The 25,736-nt window shown below is 43.2% G+C and overlaps 1 protein-coding gene across 7 annotated transcripts in view, besides 1 other annotated feature; it reads right to left on the bottom strand.

Annotated features, from left to right (window-relative positions):
* Positions 1 to 17,728, bottom strand: part of ABHD12B (abhydrolase domain containing 12B) — a 32,918-nt gene extending 15,190 nt beyond the window's left edge. For 2 of the 7 annotated variants that reach the window (NM_001206673.2, XM_011536472.2), the window contains exons 1-9: positions 17,503 to 17,728; positions 11,702 to 11,829; positions 10,934 to 11,036; positions 9,210 to 9,329; positions 8,155 to 8,185; positions 4,122 to 4,167; positions 3,886 to 4,015; positions 3,097 to 3,134; positions 878 to 957 (exon numbers count right to left, since the gene is read on the bottom strand). In NM_001206673.2, the coding sequence (NP_001193602.1) occupies positions 878 to 957; positions 3,097 to 3,134; positions 3,886 to 4,015; positions 4,122 to 4,167; positions 8,155 to 8,185; positions 9,210 to 9,329; positions 10,934 to 11,036; positions 11,702 to 11,829; positions 17,503 to 17,606 (780 nt within the window). In that variant the 5' untranslated portion in view covers positions 17,607 to 17,728. Of the gene's footprint in view, positions 1 to 877; positions 958 to 3,096; positions 3,135 to 3,885; positions 4,016 to 4,121; positions 4,168 to 8,154; positions 8,186 to 9,209; positions 9,330 to 10,933; positions 11,037 to 11,701; positions 11,830 to 16,746; positions 16,856 to 17,502 lie in introns of those variants that run through there. The other 5 variants (NM_181533.4, XM_017021031.2, NM_181814.2 and 2 more) reach the window with 3 other exon arrangements.
* Positions 14,196 to 14,245: a silencer, noted in NCBI's record as "silent region_5733". NCBI's record gives its function as "represses an Ori minimal core promoter by ATAC-STARR-seq in GM12878 lymphoblastoid cells {active_cell/tissue: GM12878}" and the evidence as "EXISTENCE:reporter gene assay evidence [ECO:0000049][PMID:35858748]".
* Positions 17,729 to 25,736: the final 8,008 nt, after the last annotated feature.

Below are 25,736 nucleotides of genomic sequence, written 5' to 3'. Positions count from 1 at the left end.
CTAAGACTTTCGCTCTCTCTCTCTCCCCACCTCTCATTTGCTAACGTTTACACGTACGTACAACTCTAAACAATTGAGCATTAGGTATAGAATAAGATTATAAAGTTAGGATAGTCTACACAATAGATTTTTTTTTCTTTCTTTGAGACGAAGTCTCACTCTGTCGCCAGGCTGGAGTGTAGTGGCGTGATCTCAGCTCACTGCAACCTCTGCCTCCCGGGTTCAAGCGACTCTCCTGCCTCAGCCTCCTGAGTAGCTGGGACTACAGGTGCGTGCCGCCACACCCAGCTAATTTTTGTATTTTTAGTAGAGACGGGGTTTCACCATGTTGGCCAGGATGGTCTCGATCTCTTGACCTTGTGATCCAGCCACCTCAGCCTCCCCAAGTGCTGGGATTATAGGTGGGAGCCACCACTCCCGGCCTTTGTACTTATTTTCTTAGAAAGTTTGTCTTCATCTGGCATACTGTGTAAAAGTATTTGGCAGCTTTCTTAAATTCTCTAGAAACTTTCTTACGATAAAGTTATGAAAGATATTCAAATGACATTCATAGGGCTCAAAAATGATGTATGAAACGTTTGTTTTCACTTTTAAGAAGAAAATAAAAATAAATAATAAACTTAAGGCAAGTCTATCTACTACAAAATTATAAAACAGATATCCTTAGAAGAAAGTGAAGGAAATATCAAATCCGACAGCCATGGGTTCCCTTTTGTGGTAACTGGTTAATAAACTGTCTCAGATTAGAATAACTTAAAAACATATAAAACTACTTAAGAAAAGGAAGACTGTTAATAAACATACATGTGTAGAAATAGCCTACACTGTATCAAAATAGCCTACTTTGATCCCTTGTAAAGATGAATCAGAGTCTCACCTTTAACAAGGGATAATTGATACTTGCAACCCACATGTTGGTAAATGGAGCTTCCAAGACAATAGCATCAACTGGGCATCCTTGAAATGAAAGAAAGAAAGAAAGAAATCAGTAACTCCCCTATTCAAATACCATCTTTCCTAGATAAGGGGTATTCAAGATCTTGTACATGAGCTACGTGCATCAAAATTATTTGTGAAGGTTATTAATAATGCAAATTCCTGGACCCCACCTCATATTTATGAGTCAGATTCTCCAGGGTGAGGGCTGAGAATGTGCATTTTAACACGCTTCCACCCTCCCCTCCCCAAGAGGTTTCTGTGCACATGATGATAACTGAAAACCACTACCTTCTTCTAAGAACACAACCAGGTCATCATGGCTTGGACAACAAGAAAGCAAGGCCAGGCACGGTGGCTCACACCTGTAATACTAGCATTTTGGGAGGCCACGGCAGGCGGATCACGAGGTCAGGAGATGGAGACCATCCTGGCCAACATGGTGAAACCCCATCTCTACTAAAAATACAAAAATCAGCCAGGCATGGTGGTGCACGCCTGTAGTCCCAGCTACTCGAGAGGCTGAGGCAGAAGAATCGCTTGAACCCGGGAGGCAGAGGTTGCAGTGAGCCGAGATTGCGCCACTGCACTCCAGCCTGGCGACAGAGCAAGACTCCGCCACAAAAAAAAAAAAAAGAAAGAAAGCAAAGTACTACAGGAAGACGGTTTTCTGCAGTCCATGCAGTCCGTTGCTAAGAATGTGCCAGAGGCTGACTAGGTTGTTTTGGTCAACACTGACTCTAAGAACAATTAGAAAAGATGTGGTTGGTTAAGGTATGTATACATATATGTTTGAAAGGATATGGGGGCTAGTGGTCAGTGAGAAACTACAGAACCAATACCAAAAGAGAGAAGTCCAGAGAGTTTGAGCTGCCTTTTCCCTCAACTCAGTTGAAAGCAATAGTGGTGGCTGAGAGAATCAGAAACGAGACAAAACTTTCAGCATTCTGACCTAATCCAAATGACAGAAATTAGAGTTCAGGATCTGACAAAAAAGAGGACCCTAGTACATTTCTCAGGCTTTTGGTTGTGATCTCAAAGAACTACAGTCTAGGAGTAATGTGAACTAGAAATAGGCCAGCCATCATAAAGACTGAAGACCAGCTTCAGATCAGCTCAATCTCTAATTAGATTAAGGTGATCTGTCCCTACCATAACTGCCTTTCAGGAGAAGAGTAAATTATATCTGGAAGAAGATAATATCAGTTCAAACCTCAAATCATTTCTATGATTTTCCATAAGCCATGTGTAGCCCTTAATCAAAAATAGCCATACAAAGATGAGCAAAACACACACACACAAAAGCAGATAATTGTAATGTAAATGTTTAAATTGTATGGCATTAGGGTAATGAATATTTGCATTTATATAGCATCTCTATATAAGGAGTAAATTCTAATTTTAATTTTTTTTAAATGACCCTGTTCACAGAGATTCTAATTCTTCAAATCAGCTAGGGTCGAAGATTCTGATACTAACAGTTAGATCACTTTGAGAAACCCTGACATAAATATTACTAAGAAGGGCTGCAGAAAGCCAGTTCTGTGTATCATTTAATGATACAGTATTTTTTTATCCTGTAATTTAAATTAATATGATATCACTAGGAGGACTCTTTTTTTTTTTTTTTTTTGAGACAGACTCTTGCTCTGTCGCCCAGGCTAGAATGCAGTGGCAATCTCGGCTTACTGCAACCTCCACCTCCTGGGTTCAAGCAATTCTCCTGCCTCAACCTCCCAAGTAGCTGGGATTACAGGCACCCACCACTGTGCCTGGCAAATTTTTGTATTTTTAGTAGAGACAGGGTTTCACCATCTTGGCCAGGCTGGTCTCGAACTCCTGACCTCGTGATCCACCCACCTCAGCCTCCCAAAGTGCTGGGATTACAGGCGTGAGCCACCACATCGGCCAAGGAGGACTCTTTCAAGGTGATTTTAACTTGTTCCTTCATATTTATTTTTAACTGCAGAATCTGAAAAAACAGCTCTTGTTTTATATTAAAGGGAGATCAAAAAGAAAGCCTGTTGCACTGCCAGAAACCATCTAAAGTTGGGATGCTTTTGGTGTCTATATGTTCAAAGTGTACACAATAGTCTCTTGACTGTTTTTACTTTCCCATCTGAAGATGGGAAATTATACCACTTAAGCATTTTATATTACCTTTTTCTTCTAGCACTTTTGCAGCATTTGTTGCAACTCTGTAAAGCAATGAAAATTAGTACATGTGTTAAGCAATAACAGTACAAAATGCAACTTCTGGTATGAGCATCTGATAAAAGCTCTGGGCTCTCTGGTTAGAAAAATGCATATAGACACAAAATTTGCACGCTATTTAAAAGGGTTCCACAGGCCCTATACTAAGGGGGTCATTTTCTTTCTTTCTTTCTTTTTTTTTTTTTTTTTTGGAGACAGAGCCTCACTCTGTCACCCAGGCTGGAGTGCAGTGGTACAATCTCGGCTCACTGCAACCTCTACCTCCCTGGGCTCAAGTGATTCTCCTGCCTCAGCTTCCTGAGTAGCTGGGATTACAGGCACGCACCACCAAGCCCAGCTAATTTTTGGTATTTTTAGTAAAGATGGGGTTTGGCCATGTTGGCCAGGCTAGTCTCGAACTCCTGGCCTCAAGTGATCTGCCCACCTCAGCCTCCCAAAGTGCTAGAATTACAGGTGTGAGCTACCCCGCCTGGCCAAGGATCCTTTCCTTTAAAACCCTCAGAAAGACTTGGACTTCAATGTAATAGATAACCGTAGAGCTGAAGGGACCTTCTGTTGTTTTACAAATAGCATGGTAAGATGGCAAGATCTTCAGCCACTTCTAGTGTGTGAAAATGATCAGCAAAGAGTCCCTGTCTTCTGGCTCGGTGCTCCCTCCACTACTGGCTGCTGCCTTTGATAGGACACTAAAGCCTCAAGGACCTGCCTAAGGACACATTTGCAGATCTCACTTACCCTGTACCCAGAGAGTGGCCCCAGAGACACACGGGAGTGATGCCACTTCTTGCCTTGGTCCACTCATAGACACAAATGGCATCCGTAGTCAGTCCCTCCTCTGTGGGCTTACCTGTAGAGTCCCCAAATCCTGGCAGCAAGAAAAGGCAAACACAGTATCACTGCCTTCAAAATGAGGGGTCATCAGAGGCCCCCTGGTTACTGAAACATCTTTGTACACCGTTCTTAACACATACCTCTGTAGTCAACAGACAAGACATGAAAGCCACCATCACTCAGCACCTAGGTAACAAAGGAGCTGTTATCACTTTAATTAGAAGATGAAAACAGAAAAGGCTTCTCCTCCCTATATCCATCCATATCACATCACAAGGAGGGCTCTTTCAAAGGTAATTTTAACTTGTTCATTAGTATTTTTTTTAACTGCAGAACCTAGAAAAACAGCTATTATTTTGTATTCGATGAAGATATTTAAAAGAGAGTTTGTTGCACTGTCAGAAACTCTGAGCTATTAAAACTCAGCTGTTTTAATAGAAAAACAGCTATTTTATATTCGATGAAGATTAAAAAGAAAGTTTGTTGCACTGTCAGAAACATCTCTAGGATGCTCTAGGTATCTGTATGTTCAAAGCATACACACAAGTTTAACAGGTGGGGAAAGATGTATTTTTGAAATCTGGTGTTTGACTTCCAACTTGAGAAGGCGAGGCTCAGTGGGAGAGACGGAGAGCAGGAAGGCTGAGCAGGGTCAGACACCCGGGGTCTCACGCTGGCTCTGCCACTTACCTGCTGTGTGACCTTGGCCAAGTTATTTAACATTTACATATGTAAATATTATTCTGAAAAGTGAGAAACAATAATAGTCGCCTTTAGGTCTATAAATGTCTCTTTTTAAAAATTCCTTGAGAATAAGAACTCTACACAGAGTTGTAGTAGAAGCAATCAAAAAGGGGAAGCTATTTATATTAAATATGAATAATGAAAACATAATTTTTCATGAAATGAAATACAATGATTGTTGGGTGTGGTGGTGCACACCTGTAATCCCAGGACTCAGGAGGCTGAGGCAGGAGAATCGCTTGAACCTAGGAAGCTAAGGTTGCAGTGAGCAACCAAGATCACACCACTGCACTCCAGCCTGGGCAACAGAGACTCTGTCTCAAAAAAAAAAAAAAAAAAAAAAAAAAAAAAAAGAAGAAATACAATCATAGATAAAGAAAAGAGAGATAAAAAAGGACAAAATTTTACTGTGCAGGCACTTTTGAAACTTTATTTAATCCTCACAACTGTACTGTAAAGTAGATATTATCCCCATTTTACGGATAAACTGAGCCTTGTGGAGCTTAAGTAACTTATTTAACATCACCCAACTGGCTAGAACTAGAACGAAGATTCACTCCTGGGTCTGCCCCTGTCCAAATACTGCGCTTCCTCCCACTGCATTTTATATCCGGGTGGCAAAACCTCATTAGGAACTTGTAAATACAAATTAAACTAATAACAAGGAGCTAAATATACCTTTTACATATCTGTTACATTCCCTCCAAGAAAGTTAGCCAAGCGGCTAAGCATCCAGGAAAATGGGAATATGCATGTGTGTTGCAGCACGTGTTGAAGGACCACTAGGCAATACAACCCAAGAACCACAACTGCAACAAACCCTACTCTTAAGAATTCATTTCTAGGAAAAAGACATGAAAGAAGAAAAATCTAGATGCTTATAGTTTTCTGAAACAATATTAGTTAAAGCAAATGCAGGGAGGAAAAATCTTATATCCAATAGCAGTGTAACAGTTAAGTAAACAATTGCTTATAAATACAATGGAGAATGACACAACCTTTTAAACTGGCTAACTATGATGACTGTGAAAACATGGAAGAATGTCTATAAAATAGTGGGAAGTAAAAGAGCACAACCTAAACGTATATATAGATACAATCATAGTAACAAAAGCCTTTTATAAGGAGAAGTAAAAACTAGGTGGGAATGCAAATAAATGAAAATAGCTGTATTAGTCTGTTGCAGTGATGAATACATGAATGAATGAAAATTTAATAATGAAAATTTATTTTTTTAAAGAAATCACCTATCCAGAGGAGGAAAGGAAGGGCTAAGGAAGTTTGGTCCTGTTGGGCAATGATGGCACTGGCACTTGATGCCCACGATCTGCCTGGGGGCAAAGTCCTGCCATACCAGCCACTCTCCTTCCCCACCCGTCCTAACTACCACAAGGATCACCTGGCAGCATTTCACACCTACAGCTCTTCTCCTTTCTGGGAACATTGAGACAGCTCTGAGTGGGAGGGGAAAAGCACGCACATTCTCACGGACATTAGCTTTACCACGTTCCACGTGGGGAATGCAAAGGGCAGGGTGCAGAGGGGAAAGCAAACCTAAAAATGAATAAACATGGTACTCCTGGGCAACACTGCACCCAGCCCCCTGCCACTCTACAAGCATTGGCTCTGAGAAGGCAGTGATGAGGGGATGAGGGGAGGGGACAGGAGAGGAGCTTCCTGTCTGCACAGGGAAGAGAGGATGAAGAAAGCACTGGAGATACTGGTACTGCCAGGATTCTGGGCCCCACTAATATTGTTTGATCAGGAAAGAACTCCAAGGTGGGAGCCAGCATGTGGGAGGAGAGACCAAGTCCCTGTGGTCACCAGCCGGTCACCAGCAGCGGAGATTACCTAACCAGAGGGTGGAAGAGGATAAACAGGCAGCTTGTTCAACCAGTTCTGAGGCAGATATGGCTAAGTGGAAAGCCTGCCATCTTCTGCATACCTGGAAACACAGGGGCTGTCCCAACAAACCAGAGTCATGCAGCAGGGAGTGAGGAGAGCAAGTGTGGCCACCATGCTACTCTACAAAGCCTTACATGGGCTGAAGCCAGGGTTTCAATGACTTTTTTTTTTTTTTTTGAGTCAGGGTCTCCTCACTCTGTCATTCAGGCTGCAGTGTGGTGGCACAATCCTAGCTTATTGCAGCCTCAAACTCCCAGGCTCAAGCAATCCTCTCACCTCAGCCTCCTGAGTAGCTGGAATTGCAGGCAAGTACCACCACATCCAGCTAATTTTAAAATTATTTGTAGAGACAGGGTCTCATTAAGTTGAGACCCTGGTCTTGAACTCCAGGTCTCAGCCTTCCAAAGTGTTGGTACTGCAAGCGTGAACCACTGCACCCAGCCTTGAATGCCTTTTAAAAGCAGACATTCTGGGTGGGCGCGGTGGCTCATGCCTGTAATCCCAGCACTCTGGGAGGCCAAGGTAGGCGGATCACGAGGTCAGGAGATCGAGACCATCCTGGCTAACACGGTGAAACCCTGTCTCTACTAAAAATACAAAAACAAAATTAGCCGGGCGTGGTGGCAGGTGCCTGTAATCCCAGCTACTTGGGAGGCTGAGGCAGAAGAATGGCATGAACCCAGGAGGCGGAGTTTGCAGTGAGCCGAGATAGCACCACTGCACTCCAGCCTGGGCAACAGAGCGAGACTCCGTCTCAAAAAAAAAAAAAAAAAAAAAGCAGACATTCTGTGTCTTTAGCCTATAACCACTAGAAATTAAAAAGGTTGATTCTTTTAAAAGGAGTGACCATTTTGCACCTTAATAATACTCTCTCAACCCATCCCCCAGCCCTCAGAGAAAGCAAATAAAAACGTCAGCCGGGTGAGGTGGTTCGCGCCTGTAATCCCAGCACTTTGGGAGGCGGAGGTGGGTGGATCACCTGAGATCACGAGTTCAAGACCAGCCTGGCCAACATGGTGAAACCCTGTCTCTACTAAAAAATACAAAATTAGCCGGGCGTGGTGGTTGGTGCCTGTAATCCCAGCTACTCGGGAGGCTGAGGCAGGAGAATCGCTTGAGCCTGGGAGGTGAAGGTTGCAGTAAGTGGAGATCATGCCACTGCACTCCAGCCTGGGCAACAGAATCTCAAAAAACAACAACCACAACAACGACAACAAAAAAAACCTCTCTCAACCCATCCCCCAGCCCTCAGAGAAAGCAAATAAAAATGTCTTCACCTCCATTTGGCAATGAGGTTATTAAGTTCACGAAGGTACTTTGGGACCTAGAGAAGCTCGGTTCTGTTTTGATCAGTGTAGGAGCAGAAGTCCACCGGTGGGACTTTGAGCCCCAGACACCACAACCCACCCTGACCAGTACCCTGGAGACCTCTCAAAAAACAACCACGCGGAGGGCCTGAGGAAAATCTTATGACATATCAAACAGACTTATGAAATGGGTGCTTTGAGGCCTCTTCAGACATACCTTTACCAGCTTCAGTCTGTGCGAAGCTGCCCTGTGAAGGAAGTTTAAAAAAAAAAAAAAAAAGCAAGAATTAGGAACGATGATAACAAATTCAATAAAAATCACTCTCGTGCTGCTGGTATCTGATCTCACGCCTTTCTCTTTCAGGTTGGAGGAATAAATAACTAGGAGAAGGGGAAATGTAAAAAAAAAAAAAATGCTGGGTTTCACAGGAAATTTCAGCAAATGTGGCTCTAAAATGGACACATCAAAAAAGCCCCTTGAGAAAAGGCGAGTCTTGAGAAAGGCGAGTCACCTGCCAGAAAAAGACAGGGAGGAAGGGAGTCACAGGCAGGTGCTCCTCCCAAGATGGTGGAGATCTGTGTGTTTCTGAGGCACATCGCCCCTGCCCCAAGCTTCAGGGGCACAGTCACAGCCGATGATCGTCACCCAACATAATCATACAGGCCCAAAAAGGCTCTGACAGCACATCGAAGGGGAGCCAGACTCCTGGGAGACGTTCTTTGTTACAGAGCGAGGTTGGGACTACAGAGAATGGGCTGAGGTATGAATATTCTAGAATTAGTCAGACGGTCCCCAGTACCTGTGGTCAGAATTCCGTGTGACCTCTCTTAAGGAGTCATATTTTCAGCTAATAACATTAAAGCTAAATAAAGGACTCTCCACTGTAGTGTTCTGAAAAATCTCTGATCTGGAAATGGCTCTTCCTTTCCCCCATAATGCGTGCCTGTTCCCTTTCCTGTCATTCATGGGTTCAATCCATCATTTCAGACACTCTTCGGGAGCAAAGGAATCATCACTTTCTTTGAAATCAACATCCAACTTTTGGAAGAGTTATTCTTTTCTCCTCAGTTAGGGATCCACATTATTCTACATATAGAATAATCTTTTTAAGTGAAGCTTATTGCCAGAACACCCTCAGATTTCAACAAAGGAGAAGAAATATGTGAAGGCATGCCTACAGAGTTAAAAACAGAGCCCTGTCCTTCATTCCCCCATGGGGCTGAAATGCTCTCAATCTCCTGAAAAAAAAATATGTAAGCAGAGCCACTGACCTGTGTTCTGCACTGCCATGAAGATAAACAATAATTGGGTTCCCATCACGAAGGGCTGCTTCATACCAGCAACAGTCCTTCCCCTTGGCATCTTCCCCCCGGCAGCTGGGGACTGTGTGCCTGAAGAGCAAGGGAGGTTTAAACAAATGTAGAAAGAGGAATTCTCCATCCTTTCCAAAGGCCGAAAGTCTCCTTATGATATATATACATATATTTTAATTTTTTATCCGACTAATATATGCACATGGCAAAAATAAAAATCTAACACCACAAAAAGTCTTATGACGAGAACCACAACTGCCCTACCCCATGTCCCCATGCACAGAGACAATGCCTTTTAACGACTTACTGTTTTCGTTCTTCTGACTTCTGCACCTGTTAATTTTCCAAGACTGCAGTTCTTAGGTACAGCCCATTGAAATTGTTTTTTTTAAAAAGGGAAACAAGTAAAAGATAATAGATGTTTACCATCTGCCATGAGTTCGGCCGAAGAGATAAGTAGGAAATAATTTAAAGAGAAACCAGTTTATGTAAGAGAAAAGAACTAAAACACTAAACTATTTTGCTCCAGAAACCAAGAAACCTTGTGATTTTAAACATCTGTGTGAGTTCCAGTTTCTCCACTTTGTTAAACCAGTGAATGCTGCAAATGCAAACACTGCCATATGACATGTCACCATGGGATGTGGAGAACTGGCTAAGGGTGACAAATCTTCTGTCCTCTCCATCACTTAAGGACAGAAAGTCTGCCATCATCCCCAGGGCCTCTGTACTCCGAATATAGGCACTGCTGCCTGCTGGATGAGCTGATCTTGATGAGATAGCTGACTCACCAAACCAAGGACCAGTGGGGCAAAAGCAAAAAATAAAAAGATTTCTAAATTCCAACACATTTGGGTGAACTGTACCCTGAAGAGTAGGAAGAAGTTATGGGTTTGTCCTAAACATTTTATGATCAAAGGTTTGAACTCAGGGAGATGAAATAGAAAACAGGTCACTGGAAACTTGGCAGCCAAGAATGAGTATTACAACTAAACAGAAGAAATGTTAAGGTTAGCATTGTAAGACAATAGACTGTTCATGACCTCATCTGACATATTTACTGAATGCCCTTTATGTGCCAAACATTGTGCTAAGCAATGAAAACCCACCAACAAAGTCTATCACCTGCTGAAGCTATAGTCTTGTAAGGAAGACAAATATTAACCAAATCATCACACAAACATTTATTTCATGACAATGGGAATAATTGTCAAAAGGGACAAGCACAGATGGCCATGACAGCACATACCTAAAACGGGCAGTGAGGAAAGGCTTTTCTGAAAATTACCAATTAAAGTAAGATCCAATAGATGAGTAGACAGTTAGCAAGGCAAGAGGGAAGGCAGGGAGCTGAGAAATAGAAGGAAGCCTTGAAGGCAGAGCATGTCCTAGGAGGACAGTGTGTCTGGAGTTAAGGGCATGAAGGCAAGGGTGGTATGGAATAAGGCAGAAGGGATGGGTGAGGCCAGAAGCCAAGGGCAACACCTAAATGTCTATACTCCAAAGCAAAATTCTTAGGAAAATCAAGCAAATCAACAGAAGAGGAAGGTGTAGGAAACAGCCTCCAGGTACCTCCAGGAGCACCGACCTCTCCGTGGGCAGGTAACACAGCACTGCTCCTCTGAGTCCTAACAGGAACACCTGCCCCATCAAGCAACCCGGTGTCCCATCCGTGCACTCACCAGATCCCTAGCATCACCCCAGGTTCAACTCTCAGGTAGAAGTTCACTGTGTGAGGAATCTTTAACTCTGGTTTCTTTAAATCCACAAGAAATGGGGCTTTGACTGGAAAGTAAAAATCATTATCAACTTCAAGAATCAAATTCCATGCCTTTTAATCACAATCAAAGAAAGGAATTAGCCTACACAGGTTAACAGGCTTCTAAGTTGCAAGCTACTACACTAAACTCCTAGCAGAGTATTTTATTTTATCAGCTAGGACTAGCCTGCAGAGGAGGGGCAAAAAACAAAAACCTAAAAGCTAGATTTTAAAATAGCATCAGTGTCATGGCTCATAATAGAGAAACAGAGTTATTCAATCCTTATCCTTGTCTCCAGCTTTTTAAAAGCAGTGGAGACCATTCCCCTAAGAAGGTAAAAAGGCCTAGAAGAAAATAATAAGTATTCTGCTACTTCGGTGAAACCTAATCATCAGCCAAAAGGCAAGAAATGTCCAGAACTACCTGCTTACCAGGAGGCAAGCAGGTAAGAACTAGAAGGACTGTGAATGGAACCCCCACCCACAAGGCCATGCATCTCTCTTTACTCCCAACAGTTTGCAAGGATTCCTGCTAGACTTCAAAGTCAATATTAAATAAGTTTCAGACCATTTCAGTCTAACCACAATTTTACAGCTGACATGTCTTTTCACTACGTCACAACTTTAAGGGTACTGAGGTCTTTATTTGGGAAAAATTATATAGGAAAATTTATGGAAGGTCCATACTTACAAAAATTAAAATAAATTAGCATGTCTATCAGAGGAAGGAAAACGTGTTCTTTTAAGGATTTACTAGTAAAGCTGTCATACAGAGCAGCAATTTTTCTTCCGAGCATTGAACAGGAGTGTGGAAAATATCTGCAAGGTATTGGGAAACACACAAGGTTTTCGAAATTAATCCATTTGTCTTGGTTTGTTTTTTTCTTTTTCTTTGTTTTTTTTTGGACAGAGTTCTGCTCTTGTTGCCCAGGCTGGAGTGCAATGGCATGTTCTCAGCTCACTGCAACCTCTGCCTCCCGGGATCAAGCAATTCTCCTGCCTGAGCCTCCCAAGTAGCTGGCATTACAGGCACCCACCACCATGCCTGGCTAATTTTTGTATTTTTAGTAGAGACAGGGTTTCACCATGTTGGCCAGGCTGGTCTCGAACTCCTGACCTCAGGTGATCCGCCCCCAAATTTCAGAGACTAACACTGGGAATTCTGGGTCAGATGGCATTTAAGCAAAATCTTTTACACAATGACAAGGAATTATCTACACGGCAGGCCAAGACTGGGACTAAGGGGAAACCAGGTAAGGAAAGTAATAGGGCAGGGCCCCAACCAGTAGCTGAAAAAGCCAGGACATGGCAGGGACAGGAAGGGAAGGGATATGTTCGCACCACAGCCAGGTTTGGTCCCTTACTGTAGCCCCATAGAAGGCTGAGGCTGGACCCCAAAGTCACCAGTAAACAGGATTCAGACAGTTTAACAGTTGCTGCAGTTTTTAATTATATCACAATTCTGCACTATATGTGTTAGCTATTCTTATCATTAGTCTCAGGCAGTGAGGGAATAATCCCTAGATCCTCTATATTCTGGACTTATCTTAGGAAGAAATGAGCCAGTGTTAGGAGACCCCACTTCTGAGATGAGATCCCTGGAAGAGATGGACCCATGAGGCACAGGGCTGGAGCCTGGTCAGGGAGTGGGATGGGCGCATGCACATCTTGCCTACGCTATTGTTCCCTGTGACACAAACCACCCAATCAGGAGCTGTCAGCACACAAGTGACGATTTGTCCATGAGGGGTCACTAAGGACACCTCTGTCTCAAGCCACCTCTCTTGTGAGGGTCTTAGAGAGGTGAGGGATACAGGAGGTCAATGTCATCACCTCCTGCTTCCAGTTTTTGCCCACATTATCCATTAAGTAAGTCCCTTTCCATGTTGTAAGAGATCATTGTTAAAACTGTTTAATATAATCAAATGGTAAGGTTGAGGGGCTGGAAAGCATTTTTGATAAATTGTCTCCCCTGCCCTGATTTCTATGCTAGACCAGAGGCATTTTTGGAAGATAATTATTACCTTTGCTTTGCAAATGAGACTGGAAAGTTAAGTAATCTTTCCAAGGTCACAAGTCAATGAATGGCAGAGCCACACATACCCAGGTCTGTCTGATCCCATAGTCTTATAATGATCTCCAGGATGTCACAGTCTTGGTGACATCCATGTAAGCAGAAATGAACCCCAGGAACAAAGCTGGCCTCTGGCAAAATTCTGCTCATAGACAATCTTGTTTTAAGATCTCCTTCTGCACCTTAGCCCTCTCAGCAGGGTCCCGTCCTTTCTTCTTTCCTCCTTCCTGCTCCTGTATTCTCAGGAGCCCTCTGATAACAAAGTCATCAAAGAAAGACCTCTAAAAAAATTAATTCCCCCTGAAGTGTTAATGACTTAAAAATCAGAGCACTTATATGTGTTTGGAAGAGGCACGAAGAGAGAAGATAATGAATCTCTGATGAATTTCCAGCAGTTCTGCAAGAAGTGGAAAAGATATGTGGGCTAAGGGTAATGGATAGATTTTTGAATACATCATACGCTGGCAATTGCCTACTCATAAAATCAGCAAGAAAGAAATGAAAATGATTGTTTCATAATACTTTAAAATAGCACCCCACCACCCCTGCCATGAAGGCGGCAGGAAGGAGAGGACATTGTTGTTCTGATTTTAGAGATAAGAAATCAAAACCCAGAGAAGCCACTTTGAGCCACAGATCAAGCCCAAATGGACAGAACTGAACCCAAGGCTGAACTGTGCCTCCTTCCAGCTGCTGGCTCCTGCTGGCTTCCTTCTAAGCTCCCCTCACTCACCTCCACCCTGCCTGTTAGTCTCCAGCTAAGCTGTCTTTTGAAGGTAGGCAGGGTAGTCTCCCGCTAAGCTATGTTTTGAAGGTCTGCTTGGGAAGCAGAGGCAGTAGAGGGAAATGTGTGTCTGTTTTTTAAGGAATAATTCATACACAGTCCTTCTCTCAAATAGCTCGAGGCACTTTTCTGAGATGCACTGCGGGAAGAGAACAGAGTGACCAGATCCTCAGAGCATCAATAATGCAAAGCAGCTTCTTTTAACTAAGGGGTTGTCAATTTGACTTCCCCTAGATCAGTAAGGGATCAAAAGTCACCAGTGGCTAATAGACCTTATTTGAGCAGAGGATGCAGTTTCAGCCCAATCCCCGCTAACGGCCAGCCACATCAAACGGCCACCTTGGTGCTTTGGTGTTCTTTCACTTGCCCTTTGATCAGCTGCAGCTGTAACCACACAGCGTCCCACAGGGGACTCAGAACCTAACTGGATGATTCTTACTGGTGAAAGCTGGTGGAGTCTGAGCTGCTACAGGGTGAATCACTCATGCTCAGAGGTTTCTGCAAACCAACTTTGGGAAGCCCAAATCTAACTACATTTACTATTTCAAATATTAAGACAGGTACCTTCAACCTGTGTGCCAATTCACTCAGTCGACATGTGTTTGTCACCAAGCACCGGGAGACATCCTCCCAACCAAATCCCCTCTTCCTTCACACCCATGGAAGTATCTCTTTTTTGTCAAAGTCTCCTGGAGAGATCATTCCATGGTGACCTCTCCTCTCTTGTCTTTCCTCCCACAAATAATAACGGGGCCTCAGCTGGCCTTGAATTGTTCTGTGATGGCTTTCCCATTATTAGCCCTGTCTTCTCCACTCTATCAGGCCACAGACAACAAGAACAACATGGCATAGAATGCTTCCTTTACATTTCCCTCTGTCTAGCCCAGGGCTGAGCTCAGTAAATATTGACGCATAGGTTGAAAATAGAAAGAGAGTGCATTTATTTTGTAAGGGAGAAGGAAGCAACATTTATTGGTAGCTTCAGAGGAAAGAGGAAGGACTTCATTTTCTTTTTTTTACTTACAATTGCAAATGAATCAATGTGTGCTCCACAGAGCAAGGATTTTGTCTGTTTTATTTACTGCTGTGTGACCAAGACTAGAATACTATCCAATAGATAATAAAGAACCAACGCTGTGGAAAGAATGAACACATTTATCAGCCTACTCCTGCACATTTTCTGAGCACTATCTAGGATTGTAATGACTTGGGGTGGAATGGGGGAAATGAGGAGGAAAATAAACCTTTGGTTTCCCCCAACTTCCTTCTGGAGCACATTTTCCATTTTTCTTTTTTTATTATTATTTTTTTTTGAGACGGAGTCTCGCTCTGTCACCCAGGCTGGAGTGCAGTGGTGCGATCTCGGCTCACTCCAACCTCCGCCTCCCAGGTTCAAGCAATTCTCCTGCCTCAGCCTCCGGAGTAGCTGGGACTACGGGCATGTGCCACCACGCCTGGCTAATTTTTTGTATTTTTAGTAGAGACAGGGTTTCACTGTGTTAGCCAGGATGGTCTCCATCTCCTGACCTCATGATCTGCCCGCCTTGGCTTCCCAAAGTGCTGGGATTACAGATGTGAGCCACAATGCCTGGCCTCATTTTTCTAATTTAAAGAAAACCAGTTGTAAAGTGGAGACTTACTCTCCTTGGCCCACCCACCTTAAGCAGCAACTGGATTTGATAAAAATTTTTGTAAAATAAATAACTAGATTCCCAAGGCATTAAAAAATAGCCACTGAAAAAATCATATGATGAAATGTTCTTGGGTCTCACAACACATCCCACTAGTTCCAGTGCCATGATCAGGGCCAGGGGCATGGCAAGCCCTCCATGAAGGTTTGCTCACCTAAGTGAACCCGGCTCCAAGAATCAAAGAGGACTTGGGATAGTGGAAATGGGTCTGGGCCTCAGCCTCAGCACATCTTATGGTAGCCAATAATCTTCTGCTCAGATGAAGACATACGCTAGTATTTTGTTCTTTCAGGAAGTGTCTCTTGAGACTTTTTTCACTAATTAGTAAGGCAAGTAATAGATGGTCCCCAACTCCCTATCTCCCACTCCATTATCAACAAAGTGGGTTATTCTCTATGAGTATGATGTGCAACTTTGATTCTCTGCCTAATAAATGCCCTTTACTGCCAAATAAATGTTAAATAATCAGCCATCAATTCCACAGAGACCATCAAAGTGAAAAACATTAGATGTCAACGTTCCCAGAATCACCACATCTGGGAGAGAAGTCCTGTTAATATGCAGTTTGACAAGTGCAATCAGGACATTCTGCCACGTGTTCAGATCCAACCCAGAGCTGGGAGGCATGGGTTCTAGGTGACTGGGCCCCTGCAGAGCTGCCAGCACTCTGCTGTCTGCAATGAGAATAAAAAGGAATAGAAGAGAAAAGAGACCAGGTGCAGTGGCTCACACCTGTAATCCCAACACTTTGGGGTGCCAAGGCAGGTGGAATCTGTGAGCTCCAGGAGTTTGAGACCAACCTGAACAATGTAGTGAAAACCCATATCTACACAAAATACAAAAATCAGCTCAGTGTGGTGGCAGGTGCCTGTAGTCCCAGCTACTGGGGAGGCTGAGACGGGAGGATCGCTGGAGCCCTGGGAATGAGCCAAGATTGTGCCACTGCACTCCAGCCTGGGCAACAGAGTGAAACCCTTGTCTCAAAAAAGAAAAAAAAAAGAGAGAGAGAGAGAGAAAAGATCCCCGTTTGTCATCATCACTCTGGGCACTCCAAAGTGAGGTCTCCTGTGTCTGGATGTAATTTTTGGATATTTTCTAATCAGCACAAATTAAACAAAAGGAATAGAAAGAGGGAAGTAAAAATGCCAATACCTTCCCACACCAACAAAACTAAATGAAATACCCACGTGTCCTGGGTCCACGATCTCCAACCAATACCTGGCTTCAGTGCAAACAAGACTGACAATATGTTGCAGGTGGATTCAGGTAATTTAAGATTACTGTTTAAACCGAGGATCCATGGGAGGAAGAAAACAGAAACAAAACCCGAAACACCCACTGATACATTTCAGACTTAAACAACATAAGAACTTGGCACAGGTAATGCCAAGTTATGGTTTCAACACACTATGTACATCTTTAGCATACTGGAGGTGTTTTCTTTAAATACATGCCAGGGAGTTCACACTCAGGGAACTAGGCACGGATTTTCTGATTCTTTTCCACCTACACAGATAGGCCCTTGACCTAAGAGGATCCCGTCCAAGATTACAACATATATTACTATTGTCACTATTACTAATGTCATTCAGATCCATCTTGTATGTTAGCAAAATGGTCAGATAATAGAGATTGGTGTAGGAATTCAACCATCTCCCTGGCATCTGTATTTCAGAAGCCCCCAAAAGTTATAACTTCCTGAAATACCAAACCTGAGAGTCTCGCTGGTCCAGGTTGGGATTGAGGCTGAGGATAGCAAGGGCAACCAAAGAGCCCTAGAGTTCTCAGGGGGCCGCCGAGGTCCCCCGGAAGCCACAATGCTGGGCCTTGGGCCCGGGCCAGCAGAGGGGATTGCGGCCTCGGCCGCGCCCTGGCCCCCTGCCCCATCCCCGCGCAGCCTGAGCCGTCGGGGCCCGGCCAGGGGTGGACCGGGCGGTACTCACCGCAGGTTGCGGTCGACCATGTCCCACCAGGCGGCCACGCAGCTACGGGCTGGGGGCCCGGGCGGCTCGGGCGATGCGGCCGCCTGGCAGTCCTGCGCGTCCATCCCGCGCCGTGTCCCGATACGCCGCCACCGCCGCGGGAGCTGCAGTCCGGAGCAGCCGCCCGCGACCTTCCCGCCCCGGCGGCACCGCGCCCGCCCTCCTCCTCCGCGCGGTCAGGCAGGCTGGTACGGCGGGGGAGACGCGGCCCGAGGGTGCGCTCCGCCCGGGTCAGGCTGTTCGCGGCCACACACACACACACAGATGTCCTAAGCTTATAGCTAGCTATGCTACATTTTATTTTAAATTGATTTCCATTATACTTCTGTGTGTGTGTGGGTGTGAGGCGCGCGCAACGCAGTAAAATATGTTTTCACCATGGTACTACTAACACAAAAGTTTGACCGCCACAGCTTTTGATTTTCATGAAGAATATAAGCTTTCCTCTACTTAAACCTCACTTTTTTCTTTTTCTCTTTTTCTGAAGCCTCCTTGTCTCCAATTCCCCATCCACCCCCAAAATCCTCACAGCCCCCCACCCTGTCACCCTTACTATAGAAAGAATTTCTTTGGCTCCCTTTGATTTACTAATGATTTGTCTGTCCACGTGGGGTTATGAACACAATTACTCCATGTAGCAAAAAATTAAGACCTTTTCGGTATTTTGTTTACGTAGCAGCATGTAGCAGAACCTCATCATTGTACCAAGGAGTTCACACCTTGAAACTTTGACCTTGGTACAGGTTTACATCTTGGTGCAGGTTTACATTGTGCAACTGTCTCCTAGGAGCAGGAACTGTCTACCAGAGCTACTCTAGGGAAGCCACGGCCTGCATGTGTGGGGACAAAGGAGGAAGAAAGGGAATTAGGTTTTATTTGGATACATTCGGATGCCAGCATCAAGGCTTCATCTTGGAGGCAAGGTGCAAATCTTAAGAGGTGAAATGGGTTTTTTGTAGTGTCTGTGTTCAGAGGGCACAGCAGGGGGCTGTCAGCACCAGAAAGTGCGTGGAAACCCATCTGCTTGAGGATAGTAAGATGGTCTGGGGGAAAATACCCACACTTTTCAAGAAAGGGAAGTTTTCTTTGAGTACTAGCTCATTTCATGGAACTGTCAGGGCAAAGGGGGATTTTGTTCACTGCCTGTTAATACTCTTATACTTGCTCTGGGAATGTTTGTTTTCTTTGTTTCTTTCTCTTTCCTTCCTTCCTTTCTTTCTTTCTTTCTTTCTTTCTTTCTTTCTTTCTTTCTTTCTCTTTCTTTCTTTCTTTCTTTCTTTCTTTCTTTCTTTCTTTCTTTCTTTCTTTCTTTCTTTCTTTCTTTCTTTCTTGTCATGGTCTTACCCTGTCACTGAGGCTGGAGTGCAGTGGTGCAATCATAGCTCACTGTACTTGAACTCACTTGAACTCCTGGACTCAAGCAATCCTTCCACTCCAGCCTCCCAAGTAGCTGGGACTACAAGCATGCACCACTATGCCTGGTGCGCGCGCGCACGCACGCTTGTGTGTATAGAGATGAGATCTCACTATGTTGCCCAGGCTGCTATCAAACTCCTGGCCTCAAGCAATTCTCCCACTTCGGCCTCCCAAAGTGCTGGGATTACAGGTCTCTGTCACCACACCTGGCTGGAATGTTCAGTTTCTGATTCACACACATCAAGATAGAAGAGGAATTAGCTCAGAAAGGACCAATGGGATCCAAGCCTGACTGATGAGCCAGCAGCAGGTGGGTTTTCACAGAGCCACAACCTGCATGATGAGAAAGCTTCAAGCAGATGTCGGCTCTACCCTTGGAGTTCTTCATAAACGTGGTCTGGAATCTCCCAGAACTTGTTCAGGGAAGCTCTGGATGGGACTCTGGGGCCATGCCAAGTGGAGATGGAGGGATCAAAGATGGGGAGGAGAGCTTGGAGGAGAGAAGAACAGCTGCATATGGTCCCAGAGTCTATTTCCATCTACTTGCTCAGGTTGAGAGAGGATATTTCCATCTACTTGCTGGATGAACAAAGTTGTAAGCCCCAAGTCTAGGGATATGTTTGAAATGCTCAGCAAAAATCTCTGAAATTGGAAATCACTATGGCCCATTTTTTGAAAGGTTGCATAAGACTCTGCAAGAAGGTCTTTCCCAGTATAAATAGCCCCTTTCAAATGGCACATCCTGGAAATCAGGGAACAAAGTCTCCCATATGATTTGATAGAACCTGAAAAACAAAATATGCATTCATTTATTCAGCACCCATTTACTGAGCACCTTTTAGGTACCAGGTACCACATTGGGCACCGTAGGGATACAAATCAGGATCCCAGCTGGTAGAGATTCATTTCAGGATGAACCATGAGAACACAGAACAGGAAATGAAAAGTGTCTTAAGGGTAGAGATTAAATCAGGGGATAGCAGGGGCTGGAGGTGGGGAGGGGAGGTTGACTACAAAGGGGTGCGAAGGGACATTTTAGAGTGATGGGAATAGTCAACATCTCAAGTGTGGTGGTGGTTACTATAAATATCCACCAATGCATATAACTCACAGGTGAATTTGACTGAATATGAATTATACCTCAACAAACCTGACTTTTGAAAAGTGACCTAAGAAATGTACAGATAAACTATATAAATGAACATGTCCTATGTCATGTTGTATAAATGTTAAGACAAAGCTGATGGTACAAATACATCAGAAACCAACAGTTGAATGTTATTTGCACTAGCAGAAAAATAAATCTTGATTGGAGACAGATTAATTTGACCACCTAAAATTATTCTGGAAAAACAGGGAATGGGGAATAAGACTGACCACCTCTCAGCTGCTGTACAGCTGTGAAGGTAAACTGCTGGTAATAAGGCAGTTGGGTGTTGAAGACCTAGATATCTTGAAAAGAAAGTATGCATCCCCCTTGTGTTTTCTTTTATTTTAAATAAAGCATTATGAGACATAAAATTCACACACTATAAATTCACTATTTTAAAGTATACAACTCAGTAATTTTAGTATATTCTCAGAGTTGTGCATCTATCACTATTATTTACAATAACTTTAGAACATTTTTATCACAGCCCCCCAGAGAAATCCTATACCCATTAGCACTCACCATTCCTCCCTTCACCTGCCCTAAGCAATCACTAATCTACTTTCTGGCTCTGTGCATTTGCCTATTCTGGACATTTCATATAAATGAATTAAACAATATGTTGCATTTTGTGTCTGGCTTCTTTAACTCAGTATAGTGTTTTCAAGGTTCATCCATGTGCTATCTCAGTGAATACTTCATTCGTTTTGGTGGCTGAATAATATTTTTTTGTATGGATATACCACATTGTGCTTATCCACTCATCAGTTGGTGGACATTTGGGTTGTTTCTACCTTTTGTCTATTGTAAATAATGTTGTTATAAATATTTGCATACAAGTTTTTGTGTGGACTTACGTTTTCATATCTCTTTATTGTACAACTAGGAGTGAAATTGCTAGGTCATATAGGTAACTCTATGTTTAATTTTTTGAGGAACTGCCAAATTGTTTTCCAAAGTGGCTACCCCATTATACAATCCCACCAACATAAGCACCATGTACCTTTTTTACCCTTTCTCAGCTTTCCGTGCACAGGTAGGAATTTTTTTTAATCTAATATTGTTGAGATTGAAATAAACCATTAAAGGGAAGTTTGAGTCCAGTCCCAGACGATAGGGAAAGAATGATGTAACTAACTCACTCAGAATATTTATTTTTCTATGTTGTTAGTTTTAGATTGTCTTCCTCTATATTAGATCTAATTTTAAGACAATTCATTATAGCTTCAAGAGTAGCTGTTGGATTATTCTCATGTGCTTAGAATTGAGAGTATTAATACGGGTTTCCTTTTAGCTAAAGGGGTGGTTTCTTTGAGAAGAGAAAATGACAATGTCATGGGCCCCTTTCAGTTGAAACTGGAAGTGCTTGAGTACATTGGGTACACCGTTTCTTCCAAAGAGCTCTCCACATTCCCAGACATGGCTCATAGGGTCCTTGCTCTTCTACAGTAAAACACGAGATTTGGTTTTCCTAAATATCTATGGAAGAACTGAGCTGGGATTAAACCCCAGCAGTTACAACTCCCTCCTACCTCTCTGGGTATTACTTTCCAAATTCCTCCAGCCATTCCTTAAAAGTTAGCTGTTCTCAGGGTTCCTTCCTAGCTCTGCTTCTCTTCTTGTGTTGTATACACCAGGATTTCCAAATCTATTGGGAAAGAGGCCAGGCGTGGTGGCTCACACCTGTAATCCCAGCATTTTGGGAGGCCGAGGTGGGCAGATCACTTGAGGTCAGGAGTTCAAGACCAGCCTGGCCAACATGGCAAAACCCCATCTCTACTAAAAATAAAAAAATTGGCCAGGCATGGTGGCACATGCCTGTAATTCCAGCTACTCAGGAGGCTGAGGTGGGAGAACTGCCAGAACCCAGGAGGCAGAGGTTGCAGTGAGCCGAGATTATGCCACTGTACTCTAGCCTGGGTGACAGGGCAAGACTCAGTTTCAATAAAAAAAAATAATAAAAATTTTAAAAGCTATTGGGAAAGAAAGGAAACTTTTTATCTGAGAAGTATGAGCCCCTTTGAATTATCTGGCCCAGTGAGGCATTGAAATGTGACAGCAGTCACCTCTCACTCCTCCCTTGAGCTAAGTAATCTCTTCTTGCTATGTGGGCTCTACGCTGAGTGATGTTAAGCAGCCATAAATTAACCTAACAATCCCATATGCTGGACACCGTAACTCATACCTTAGAGTTCAACAATGTATAGCTAATCACTAATCAATGTTACTTCTGTGAACCAATGAGAATCCCCTGCAAACAACCTTTGTAACTGCCCCCTCTCCTTATTCGTCCTTCACACTTCCTTTGTGTCCCAGGCTGCACTCCTCAACCTTGGCCCAAATAAACTCGCTCCCTATATTAATTTTGCCTCAGTTTCTTTCTTTAGATCAACACTATGTTTAATCATTTGGGAAGCTCTGGGCTAAACACAGTAATAATATGTTCATTTGGCCAAGATTCCATATCTCAAAATCTTTTCTTGTTTAATGATCTTTGAAAGTCTCCCAGAAAAAGGTATAGAATGTGGCACTTCACTAAAGTCATCTGCTCTCCTTCCTTCTCCAAACCTGTACCACTTGCAGAATTCCCTATCTTGAAGAACAGGATCATCATACACCAAGTTTCCCTAACCACAAACTTGACATTTATCTTGATTCTTCTGTTTTCTGAAGCCCAGTATTCCCTCTAGAAAACATTAAGATTAAGCCTTCGGGTGATATGTCTTTATTTGTATATTTTATATAGTATCTAGCTTTGGAAGCCTACACTCTAATTGCAAGGGAAGGACCTACATATATGAAAAGCTAAATAACAACCTGAGGAGTACCACCAGATAATAAGAAGGCCCAGTGAGACACACCTGTGTGGGCTGAAGAGGTCAGGCAAGGATTCCAGGGAAGTATTACTGTGTTGCTTAGAAACAGCCTTGGAGATACGAGGTAATTTAAAATGGCTATCCAGAGATCCCATAGAATGTTAAAGCTGGAAAATACATAAGCACTCATTTGCTAATAATCTCACTTTACATAGAGGAAACTGAGACCGAAACAGACCAAATGATGGATGATAAGCTGCATTCATTCAGTATTTATTAAGTACCCACTGCGTGCAATGCACAGCATGGGCTACACTTATACAAAAGAGCAGGCAAGGTGAGACTATCAAATAGCACTGGTACTTGGCAAAAACTAAACCTATCACAGCATCCCAAGGGGCAGGTCTTTGAGGCAAAGGTGATCGGGCCAACTGGTAGTTATAAACTGGGTTACTAGTTCTTCCACTTACCCTTGAAAATAGCAGAATTCAAATAGTTATTCACAGGTTAGGTAGGCACTAATTATTTCTGCTTCATGAGTAATCAGGGTGGAAGAATTTATCACCACCTACAGTGTCCAGTCATTTCATATCTGGATATACAGACATCCAGGTAGAAAATTCTGAAGCAACCTTTACAGTGGACACAAGCCTAAATGTTTGTGATCTGGGAACACCGCAGCTGGTTTAGGATTATGGAGGCAGAGAGGCAGGGAGAGCCTCCCAATCAGAGATTATTTTATTTTCTTGACTTCTCTTTATTTTTTTAAATGCCCCTCTAATAAATTCAGAGTAAGGGCTTTTCCAAGATGTGCAGTTCTTCAGTCTTAGGATAAATAATGACACTGAATTTTTAGCCTATTGAAGTTCAACAGGAAAAGCTATTATAAAAGATAAGCAAGATGATGTAAAAATATCTTCCCGTTAATGCAAGCGCACATGAAGAAATTGTGAAGACAGGAAAAAAGTCATAGCTGTAGATAAAGTAAACAGGAACTGGTTTTCAGTCCTAAAAGATGACGGGTCTGTAATTCTGGGCTTTCTGAATCCCTGCCATCAGTTTGAATTAATCTGTTCCTCATCGTTTAGAGAATCTCCGAGGATGGTCCTGAAAGCAGCTTCATTTCCTCAGTTCCCCTGCTCATGTCCGAGTGTATATGTGCTCCCAGCACAGCTTGAAATTAGTGTACTTTTTCATCTTGGCCTTCAGTGTTTAAACAAGCAGGCAAAGACCCCAGGAGACTTGGACAGGATGGCCTGATGGTACAAACGGTGTCCGGTAGCCCGAGGCGGGACTTCATTATCTTCACATGGCCTGGCTTAGCATGCAAGGAACAACCTGCCCCTAGAGAGGAGTTTTAAAATAATCATATGTAGCGTGAGATGAGATCATAGATATGAAAGCTCTTATTTGAAGTTAAAAAAAAATTCAGCCTACAAATGCACAGTATTGGTATTATTTATTAATGAGTGTATTTGATACTCTCTTTGTCAGGCTCCTGGGCGTATTTGCATGCATTCATTTACAAAGACAATCATCAACATTATGGCTTATAGACCAACATAGAAGTTTAATTACTAATAAATACGAATAGATACACAAATGTACCTAGGAGTCCATGCAGTTATCCTGTTCTACTTCACCGCCTACCAAAAGCAATTAAAAATTGATACCAGCAGGAGACTCATACCCTTCCTTGCAGAGCGAGAGACAAAGGAGTGGGTGAGAGTGGGGGTGGATAATGTTCTTCCTTCTCCTGCCTGCTAAGTGTCAAAGAGGATGAGAACTCCCAAAGGAGTCCTCCCAACCCAGCAATCACAAGTTACTTAGCAAATATCAGCTCATTAATCCGGAGGTGAGTGTTGGGTAGCTTTGCGAGGTGACCACTTAAACAATTTTTCAGCAGAAGGGCTACAGTGTTTCACATGCAATTCTATAGTCTTGCACTATCTAAATCAGGAATCTTTTTTGTGTTTGGTGTTACTTGTTAAGTTTAGAACAAAATTTCACACATGCAGGCTGTGTGTATCTCCAGCACCTAGCATAATGTCTGGCACAAAGCAGGTGCTAAATACGTATTTTGTAAATAATGGAAAAACTTGAATCTGTACTGCAGCCAGTCCATGAAACTCCATCACATACATTCTCCATAGGCCCCTGTGGCACTCTCTAGTTTGCACCTATACAATTCTGAACTGCAGGATAACAGGAAAGAAACCAGGGCAAGTGAAAGGGCTGAAAGGTGCACTAAGCTGGCCTGGTCTGGGGTCTGCTGCCCTGTTTTCACCTCCCCCACCCAGAGGCAAGTTCTATGCTTAGCATAGTTGTCATGTCATGTGTAAAGGTGTGATTCCACCCCACCCCACCCCTGACCCATCTAGAGATTAAACAGGTAGTCCTTCTCTTGTGCAATCCCCACTCAGCAAGCATTCATCAAATGCCAGCTGTACATAGCCCAGCACATGAAGCCTTGTAGAGGAAAGGGAAAATATAAGTCATGGCCCCTGAACTCAGGAACTAATATTATCATTAGGGAGACTATTTATTATTGCTCATTTATTCTATAAACATATATTGAGCACATGAGCTAAATACTCTTCTAAGTGTTGGAGATTCAAAGTTGACCAAGACAAATAATTTTCCTCCTCTCATTATGCTGACATTTTAGAGGGGGAAGACAAAAAGCAATCATGCAAATAAATAATATAAATTCAGATTAGTGCTATCAAAACCAAATCAGATAATACAAAAACTACTTTATCCGAGATTTTTTTTGAGACAGAGTCTCGCTGTGTCTCCCAGGCTGGAGTGTA

The sequence above is a fragment of the Homo sapiens genome, chromosome 14 (assembly GCF_000001405.40).
Source record: "Homo sapiens chromosome 14, GRCh38.p14 Primary Assembly".
Lineage (NCBI taxonomy): Eukaryota > Metazoa > Chordata > Mammalia > Primates > Hominidae > Homo > Homo sapiens.
The sequence above is the reverse complement of the archived record's forward strand: the minus strand, read 5'-3'. Positions and strand labels throughout refer to the sequence as shown.